Here is a 9,959-nt window from a genome sequence, read left to right as displayed (position 1 = left end):
ATGGGATCACCAAGTTTTGCTTCTGCAGGGCCAAGAGCTGGGATGGGGAAAAGGGAAAGAGGAGGTCTCAGCACGCAGTGGGAAACTGGAGAGGGGTCGGGCCTCACCCTCCGTGGCGCAGCTTAGGGAGCCGGGTCACCCCTCCCGCAAGGCAGCCTCCCTGTCAGCCGCAGCTGGGCCTAGGGAAGAGGGAAGCCTGTGCTTTGGAGTCTGGGATGGAGGCCCAGCTAACCCCTATGCTTTCACCGGGCTGAGCCGCGCAGTGGTCCGTGATCTCTGACAGTCCCAGGCCCGCGCCCTGGGCGAGGAGAGGCGAGAGCTAGGGACTTGGATTCCCTTCCCCCGCCACCCCACCCGGGCATGTGTCTCCAGAGCGCAACTTCTCAGGCTCTGCGCAAAGTAGCTCCGACTCGCCGACGCAGCGACCCCGGCGCCCTTGCTTGCAAAGTTGGGCGCCACGGCCGGGACAATCGTGCGTGCCTCTCCACTGAGGTCCCCCCCATCTCTCTCCAAGACCTTGACTCTTCCAGACCAGTCAAGTCTATCAACTCATAGGGTGTCCCCTGCATCCCCAAAACGTGTTCATTCACTTTAAGAAAACAAGCAAATCTTAAAATTCATATACAGCTTTGGGGAAGAAAGGAAAGATTGTCACAAAATTAGATTTACAAGAGGTTGCTGCAGAAGCAGAGTTGCTAGTTATTAACAAAGACAGTTAGATAGAAATAGAAATAAAACATACAAAATATGTGCTCATATGTGCATCAAAAATCAAAAAAGAACAGCATTTACACTTCTGTTCTCAGCCAAACGGTTTATTAACCTGATGACTTGTCACACAAGAAGTTAGTATGTATAATGGGGTACCTTGGCAGGGCACAGTGGCTTACATCTGTAATCTCAGCATTTTGGTGGGCTGTGACAGGAAGACTGCTTGAGTCCAGGAGTTCGAGACCAGCCTGGGCAACATAGTGAGACCCCCCCCGCCCTTTCTACAAAAAATTAAAAATTAGCTGAGCATGGTGATGTGCGCCTGTAGTCCCAGCTACTCAGGAGGCTGAGGCGGGAGGATCACTTGAGCCTAGGAGATCAAGGCTGTAGTGAGCCGTGATCGTGGCACTGCACTCCAGCAGAGGCAACAGAGCAAGACCCTGTCTCAGTAAAAAGGTGTGGTGGGGGAGGTACCAGCATAGGACCAGGCTGAATGAGTTGGACGTTTAGTTTGTGTGTACCAGCCTTGGGGATCCTCATGTGTAGGTGTCACCCTCACCATGGACCCAATGCCCAAGCACCTTTCTGGGGTTCATGCACCCTCTTCCTCCTCCAAGTGGGCAGGCATCCTGCCTCTGACTGTCTCTCCCTGCAGGATGGGGAAGTCAGAGCTCCAAGGTGCACATCCACCACAGCACATGGCTTCATTTCCCTGGGCACAACCTGCGGTGGATCCTGACCTTCATGCTGCTCTTCGTCCTGGTGTGTGAGATTGCAGAGGGCATCCTGTCTGATGGGTGAGTGACTGTCTGAGGACTCAGGAAAGTGAATCTGCTCCAGGGTACTTCCTGAAAGGCCCAAGGAGATCCTAGCTCACCTATATTCCACAAGCCCATGTCTTTTGTTACTACATCCAGCAGCTCAGTGTCTTCTATGTGCCAACCTCTCTGAGCTGGGCACTGGACGCAAGTGAGTCCCAGGCCCTGCCATCAGTCCAGGAGAGCAGAGGGAACACGGACCTGCATGCCAAGTCCCAGTGAAATAATGCTAGAGCCTATTAGAATGCCACAACTCCAGTGAAAAATGTCTGGCCTCTTCTACAACCTGCCGGAGTTACCTTCTTGGAAAAAAAAAAAAATCTAACCATGCCACCCACTCTTGCATAAGACCTTTCCTTGGTTCTCAGCTGTTTTGAAGATGTGGTCTCAGATCCTCAGCCCACCATTCAAGGTCTTCACAGTCAGCCCCACCTATCTCTGGCCTCATTCCCCATGCCCACCTTCCGTTTGGGCCTCACAGCACACTCCTCACACCTCTGCTACAGCACAGATCACACTGTATGTTAAAGTTTATGTCTATTTGCAAAACTGTCTTCAGAGTCAGAAAGGCCTAAGAGTTAGAATCTGAGTCTTGTTCATCTTTGTGTTCACAGTGCAAGGCATGTGATAAACATAAACATTATTCAGTCCATAAACATTTATTGGGTCCTTAGGAGAATGAATGAAACCATGTTACAAATAAGTACTCTGGGAGGTGAGAGGAAGGCAGAATTGGGCAAGCTCCATGGTTGAGAGGGCTTTGGAGCGGAGTCTGGAAGGGTGACTAGGCTTCAGACACACAGAGGAGGAAGGAGAGAGAGAACTGGTGGTGCCTGAGGGAAGGGAAAAGGCACCAAAGAGAAAAGCAGGTAGGGCTAGGGAGCAGCGCAGGGGCTGGAGCATTAAACACAGGCTGGGGAGCGATGGAGGCTGAGGCTGGGAACCCAGGTTGGGGCATCTCAGGAGGACTGTGAATCCCAGCCTGCATGTTTGGGTCGGATTTGGTCAGCAGTTTGGAACAGAAGAGAGATGTCATCAGCATAACACTTTTAGGTGGGAACCTGAGGTGTTCAGCGCAGGCTGGAGGCAGGGAGAATCTAGAGGTATAATAGAAGCAGGACTTAGCATTGACTGCAGTAGTCTAGGTGAGCAATAACTGCAGACAGAAATGGTGTGTCAGCAGTCAGGGACAGAAGAGGAGCGGGAGCAGCCATCTCACTAAGGAAGAATCCAGTAACCAGCAAGGATGAGAGACTGCCAGGAGAGGGAGTGGTGGAGGAGAGGGATATTTGGCTTGAGTATCTGAGGTCCAGCGCCCCCTGAGCTGGAATCAGATTATACCCAGACTGCACTCCTGCAGTGCTGCCTGGCTCCTGTAGTTGGATGGCAGGGGATAGGCTCCCTCATCCTCCCTCCCGTTCCCCACCTTCCCTTCCCCAATGTCCCTGCATCCTGGCTTCAGCAGTGATCTCTAAAATACCTGCTTGACTTGGAGGCAGCAGCTCTGCCTGCTTATTAAAGTCCCTAGACCAGCAAGAAGACCAGAAGGCATACTGCTACACAAGCACGTGACAAGTCCGCCTCCACCCCCACCCCTACACCCCTTCCAAAGTAGCACAAATGCCACAGTGAGCCCTCAGATGGGAAATACTCACCAGATGGTGACAGAGAAAGACACCTCCGCCCTTGGAGAAGGAAGACCTGGGTCTTCAGTGAGCACTGCTGCTGTGTACCAGCTATGGGACTTTGCACAAGTCATTCAGGCTTTCTGGGCCTCATAAGCATTTATAAACATACGATAAAACATTTTAGTTGCCAACTTAAAAATGTGTGAGAAAGTATAAGGTGTTTCAAAATTATTTCAAGGAGTAAAGAGGCAAGAGTTTTGAAGATCCCTGGGCAGGGTGTTGGCTGTTCCCAGTGTGGCCATTCATGACTGCTCTCTGGCCTTATGAAACAAGCATCATAGTCCCTGGCTTGCCTGCTTCATGGGGCTGTGGAGGGTGAAATTCGAGCATGGACAGGGTGCAGAGCCCGGAGTGGCAGAGCACTGGGTAGACTGTGTATTCCCAGAATGTGGGAAACTGGAATGAATCGGTCCAGGGATGCCCTCCTGCTGGCTGTCAGCAGCCCCTCCTGTGTGTGGCTGTACTGCTTCAGCTCAGTGCAAAGGGCCATCTCCTCCCCAGGGCACAGATCAGCTCAAGCTGAGTAATTGTCATCTGGTCTTTGTGAGCTCCTACCCCCAGGCCTGAGTGAGGGGCAGGAAAAGAGCAGACAGGAGAAGTCACAGACCCTTGTGATACCTCCAGTCTAATCCAGCCTGGGTTTTCAGAGCTGTCTGGAAATTTAGGGGGCAGGTGGGAGGGGGCTGATTAAGGCAGCCCTGATTTGATTTAGAGTGAGCCTCATTTAGTGACTAATTAAGCCATCTTAAACCTGTAGGGCTTCCCCTCTTCCTTTGGGTATTATTTCTTTCTGTGATGTTCTGAATTCAGAACAATCAAAACAGTATAAGTTAGTGAAGAAGATATTTTTTAATAACTACAATATTTTCCCAGACCACCATACACTGGATAAAGCCTGTATATAAAACTTTACCTAATTTCTTAACTAATTGAATGTGTATTATTTAACAAAGCAGCTAAAAACTATTCTATGAAGCCATGTCATGAAATATTTAGTTCAATTATGGTTAATCCTCATCTTATTTCGTCTTATAAAATTTTAACATTTCTACCTCCTATTGCAAAAAAAAGCATTTATATCAGCATATAATAAAACATGTCTAGATGTCAGCTTAAAAATGTGTGAGAGAGTAGAGGGTGTTTCAAAATTATTTCAAGGAGTAAAGAGGCAAGAGTTTTGAAGATCCCCAGGAAGGGTGTTGGCTGTGCCCAGTGTTGCCATTCATGACTGCTCTCTGGCCTTGTCTGTCTTGTACCTTCTATATTAGTTTGAAGACCTTTTTTGGAGAATATTCACTAAAGAATATCAATATCTACCATTTCATTAAAAAAGAAATGTGGAGTTTGCCTTTTCAAGTTGGTTTGATGCTTATTGATGTTTTCAGGGACCCAGCCTCTTCCCATCTTTCCATACCATCCTGTGTGTGTGTGTCAGCCTATCTTCCCCATGGTCACAAGGTGGCTGCCTAGCTCCGGGTATTGCTTAGCATGAGCAGAGAGGGCATGCTGCCGACATGCCTCTCCTTTATGACAGAGATCATTCTTTCTTTGACATCTCACTGGCCAGAATACGTGGACCAACACTGGCAAAGGAGTATGGAATTGCATGGCTGCTTAAACCAATCACCATCCATTCCCTGGGGCTGGGTATATTGCTGCTGGAGCAAACCTGTGGTCCTCCTGGCACAGAATAAGGGGAAGATACTCTTTGGTGGACAGCCCACATTGCCTCTACACTTGCACCTCAGTCCCACCAGACCCACTGAGGTCACAGGATAGCTCTCCTCATGTCCTTCCTCCTTCTCTGTTGAACTCTTATGTATCCTTCAAAGTCCAGCCTGGTGCCACCTCCTCTGGGAAGCTGTCCTTGGTTGCCCACCCCCTCCTTTGTGCTCTCTCAGTCTCTGTCCATCGGCAGTATCACTTCCCTAGCCTGCTGACTCCAACAGTTAGCTCTGAGCATGGCAGCCCCCTCCATACCATCAGCTTCTCAAGGGCAGGGACCCTTGGCACACTGGATAGAAGTAGCCTGGTGGGCAACAGCAGCACTGAGGCAGCAAGCTGTAGCAGGCCATCTGGGAATGGAGTGGGTACCACAGGGCTGGAGCAGAAAGGGCAGGCTGGGCAGATCTGATAAAGTGGCTGGAGGCCACATAGCCTGGGCCTTTCGTTCCAGGCTGAGCAGAGTGGGTTTTGCTGTCTGCAGGAGGGAGCTGTGGAAGGGCATGATCACGACCAACTAAGGTGACCCTCCTCACCAGGCCCAGGGAAGACTGAGGCCTGGAAGGAGGCTCTGGCTGCCTCTGGGTCTTACCCCCAGGCCACAGTCCACCCACTTAGAGGCCTCTGTGAGTTAAGGTGGAGAGACTATGAGCTGGTATTGACTGCTCCATTCCCCATCCCGAGAGAGGAGACAAAATCAGTGACCTTGGAAATGCCTCTTCGTGCCTCAGTTTCCTCACCCCATAAAATGGGAGACTAAGAGTACCCACTCGATGGGGTTTAATGAAGATTAAATGGGTTAACATATATCGCATGCTTAGAACAGTGCCTGGCACAGAGTAAATGCTCCATAAATACTGACTCTCATCAGTTTGTTATCACAGCCTCTGGGGAGGGCGCCAGTGCTGACTTATGCTGTTCGTGTTAAATGGGGCTGTCACTGGGTGAGTTGTGGCATACAGGCCCCTGCACTGTTCAAGAGACCCCAGCAACCCTTGTGCTTAGGGCTCAGCACATAGTAAGGCCTCCAGATCATATACCCAGCTCTACTCCATGTACTGGCAGCTCTGCCCAGCCCATACCCCAAATACGCCCATTAACTAAAGGGCCCTGCAGCCTATAAAGTGATGCTATAAAGGTTCAGTGTTCAGCCTTTGAAATTCAAGGCCTGGGCTGCTCTATTGCAGTACTTAGCATGTCCCCATCCTGTCTGTTTCTCTCTCCCATCTCAGGGTGACCGAATCCCACCATCTGCACCTGTACATGCCAGCCGGGATGGCGTTCATGGCTGCTGTCACCTCCGTGGTCTACTATCACAACATCGAGACTTCCAACTTCCCCAAGCTGCTAATTGGTAGGTGAGGTGTAGGAGGGAGGGGCAGTACCTTCATTCATTTCTTCAGATAATGTTTACTGAGGACTCATTATGTGCCAGCTATTGCTCTAAACAGTAGAGATTTGGAATAGAAAAAGAAAAAAATCCCTGCCTTCATGGAGCTTACAGTCTGGTGAAGGAGGATAGACAGGCAAAGACAGTGAATAAACAAGCAAACAAATAGGTGGTGGGGATGCTATGAAGAAAATCAAGCTGAGTAAGGGGTAGGGGCAATGACAATGTTGCTATCTACACAGGATGGTCAGGGAAGGGCTGTGGTAACTGTGGGCATGCAGATATTTGGGGGAAGGTATTCCCTGCAAGGGGAGTGACAAGTGCAAAGTCCTCTGATAGGGATAGATTTGGCAAAGATGTCACTGTGGGCAAAGCCAAATGAGCAAGGGGAAGAGTGGGAGGTGAGGGCAGGCGTCAGGAGAGGAGCGAGCAAGAGTCCCAGGCTCTGGGCCTGAGAGCCTGGGTGAACTGTGGCATCAATAACTGATGTGACAGAGGAGGGGGAGGTGGGCTGTGGTGGGGATAAAGTTTTCTACTGGGGGCATATCGAGTTTGAGATGTCACAGAGACAGCCAACTCAAGTGTCAAGTTGGGCTTTCATGGGGAGGTCAGGACAGGAGCTACACTTTCAGGAGGTGGGCCTTGTAGATGACATCTAAAGCTTGAGCCTGGGGCTGGCTGCCGTGGCTCACACCTGTAACCCCAGCACTTTGGGAGGCCGAGGTGGGCGGATCACCCGAGGTCAGGAGTTTGAGACCAGCCTGACCAACATGGAGAAACCCCCACCTCTACTAAAAATAGAAAAATTAGCTGGGCATGGTGGCACGCATCGGTGGTCCCAGGTACTCAGGAGGCTGAGGCAGTCAAATCTCTTGAACCCAGGAGGTGGAGATTGTAGTGAGCTGAGATCGCGCCACTGCAGTCCAGCCTGGGTGACAGAGCAAGACTCCATCTAGAAGGAAGGAAGGAAGGAAGGAAGGAGGGAGGGAGGGAAGGGAGGGAGGGAGGAGGGAGGGAGAAGAAAGCTTGAGCCTGGATGAGGTCACCTGGGGAGAGAAGAGAAAGGCTCTGGGACCAGAGCTTGAGGTTTGCTAACATTTAGAGAGACTCGGGAAGGACTGCCCACTTAGAGCTTCTGAGATGTTAAATACTGCAGGACTGGGGTCCCAGGCAGAAGCAACAGGATGATGGTTGGTGTTTACTGAGCATGTGCCATGGGGCAGGCTCCATGCCATGTTCCTTACATTCATTGTCCCACAGGCTAATTCCCCCAGCCTCCTTATTGGTATTGTTAATATCCCCATTTTCCAGTGTGGACCCTGAAACTGAGAGGTTAAAAATAATAACAGTAAATACTCACTTTGTACTTACTGTATGCCAGGCCCCATCCTACCTATGTGATATATTAATTCATTTAATCCTTGCAACAACTCTATGAGGTAGGTACCATTATTATTTTCCCTTTACATATCAGAAAACTGAGGCTCAGAGGTTAAATAACTGGCACTAGTCTAGCTCGTCAAGGGGCACAGCCGGGAGTCTAGCATCTGTGCAATCTCCTAATCATTTCTGAGACTGCGTGTCTAAGGGCCCTCAGACTTCGTCCTTGGGGTAAAGGTATCAATCCGCAGGTCTGCCTCTGTGTTGGGGTTCAGCCTGTGTGTCTAAGGCTGGGGCTGTACATCTGGCAGTTAGACTTTGTTCACACTATGTCCTTAAGTCAGACTGATTTTTAGGTATCACAGCATCGAATTGACATTTGGAGTCTGGCACACTCTGTGCTAAGCCAGTGACATCATGGTGTTGTCAGGGAGTACAGGGTGTTTCTTGCACTAGTCACAGGTCTGCCTTTCTGTAGAAGGTGGGATCTGAGCTCCATTAGGATTATCCAGGTGATCCCCCTACCCCTAGCCCAGGGGCCCCCACATGAGTATGAATGGGAGCTGGGGGAAGCAGGTTGAGAGGGGAGATGTTAAATACAGGCTTCAGAGAGCCACCCTGCTTCCATTTCTGAAGTAGCTCCTTGTCTGTAGAGAACCCTTCATTAACCAGGGCCTGGCTGACCAGTGTCCTCTGGAAACACCCTGTCTGGACATCTGAGGAGTTCATTTTCTCATTCTCCAGCAAACACATAATGTTCTCTCTTTAAAGCACAAGTTATCACCCGTGGATGGATTTGTCCTTTTCTAAGGAACAAAGACTAACTCCCTCCATTCCCCTTGTTGGAGTTATCTCCCCTTGAAAGGACACTCCACAGAGCCAGAAATTCTAGAACAGGGAAAAGTGGAGGGGACGTGCCTGTGAACTGCAGGGACAGAAGGAAATGGGTATTGGGAGAATGGCCAGCCCTCCAAGGGGCTGATGTCTGGCCTGGGTATGGAGTCCCACAGAAAGGGGACCTGTGATGCAGCTTACATTGTCCCGTGAGGGAACCATGATCCTGGAACCCAGATGAGGCCAAGGAAATGTTCTCTGAAAAAGTCATATTTGAGCTGAGAACTGAAGGAACTAACTGGGAGAAGGGAGGAAAGAGTGCTTCAGGCAGAGGAAACAGCATGTGCAAAGGCCCCAAGGCAGAAGGAACAAAACACATTAGAAAATTCAGAAGAAGAAGAGTGGCGTGGGTGCAAAGTGGAGGGGAGCTGGACTTTGGGTTTTGTTTGCTTGTGCCCAGGCTGGAGTGCAGTGGCACCACCTTGGGTCACTACAACCTCCGCTTCCTGGGTTCAAGCGGATTCTTGTGCCTCAGCCTGCTGAGTAGCTGGGAATACAGGCGTGTACCACCACACTCAGATAATTTTTTGTATTTTTAGAAGAGTTGGGATTTCACCCTGTTGACCATGCTGGTCTTGAACTCCTGGCCTTAAGTGATCAGGTCTCAACTTCCCAAAGTGTTGGGATTACAGCCGTGAGCCACCGCACCCACCTGGAAGGTCATACCACAGATGTTTGCCTTTATCCCAACAGCAATGGGAAGTTGTGTGTGTGTGTGTGTGTGTGTGTGTGTGTGTGTGTGTGTGTGGTTTAACATGTTTAACATAAAATTTATCATCTTAACTGTTTTTAAGTATAGTGTTCTGTGGCATTAAGTATATTCACAGCCGGGCATGGTGGCTCATGCCTGTAATCCCAGCACCTTGGCAGGCCAAGGCAGGTGAATTGCTTGAGCTCAGAAGTTCGAGACCAGCCTGGCCAACATGCCAAAACCCCGTCTCTACAAAAAACATAAAAATTAGCTGGGCGTGGTAATGTACACCTGTAGTTCCAGCTACTTGGGAGGCTGAGGTGGGAGTATCATGGGAGGCTGAGGAGAGAGGATCAGTTGAGCCTGGAAAGTGGAGGCTACAGTGAGCCAAGATTGTGCCACTGCACTCCAGCCAAGATTGTGCCACTGCACTCCAGCCTGGACAACAGAGTGAGACCCTGTCTCAAAAAAAGAAAAAAAAAGTATATTCACAGTGCTGTGTAGCCATCACCACTATCCATCTCCAGAACTTTTTCATCTTCCCAGGTTGAAACTCTGTACTCATTAAATGATAACTCCCCATTTCTCCCTCCTTACAGCCCCTGACGACCACCATTCTACTTTCTATCTATGAATTTGAGCACTCTAGGTACCTCATCTAAGCG

The 9,959-nt window shown here is 49.9% G+C and overlaps 1 protein-coding gene across 6 annotated transcripts in view, besides 1 other annotated feature; it reads left to right on the top strand.

Annotated features, from left to right (window-relative positions):
- Window positions 1-9,959, top strand: part of ABCC8 (ATP binding cassette subfamily C member 8) — an 84,348-nt gene that overhangs the window by 452 nt on the left and 73,937 nt on the right. For all 6 annotated transcript variants that reach the window (NR_147094.2, NM_001351297.2, NM_001351296.2 and 3 more), the window contains exons 2-3: window positions 1,367-1,508; window positions 6,172-6,293. Coding sequence is in view for 5 of the 6 variants with exons in the window: in NM_001351297.2 (NP_001338226.1) it covers window positions 1,367-1,508; window positions 6,172-6,293 (264 nt within the window). In the remaining variant the exon portion in view is untranslated. The remainder of the gene's footprint in view (window positions 1-1,366; window positions 1,509-6,171; window positions 6,294-9,959) is intronic.
- Window positions 337-893: an enhancer, noted in NCBI's record as "H3K4me1 hESC enhancer chr11:17497048-17497604 (GRCh37/hg19 assembly coordinates)". NCBI's record gives its function as "activates a minimal SCP1, AML or CMV promoter by ChIP-STARR-seq in naive H9 embryonic stem cells {active_cell/tissue: H9 hESC(naive)}" and the evidence as "EXISTENCE:reporter gene assay evidence [ECO:0000049][PMID:30033119]".

Source organism: Homo sapiens, chromosome 11 (genome assembly GCF_000001405.40).
Source record: "Homo sapiens chromosome 11, GRCh38.p14 Primary Assembly".
Lineage (NCBI taxonomy): Eukaryota > Metazoa > Chordata > Mammalia > Primates > Hominidae > Homo > Homo sapiens.
Note: the sequence above shows the minus strand (reverse complement) of the source record. Positions and strands in the feature narration are given on the sequence as shown.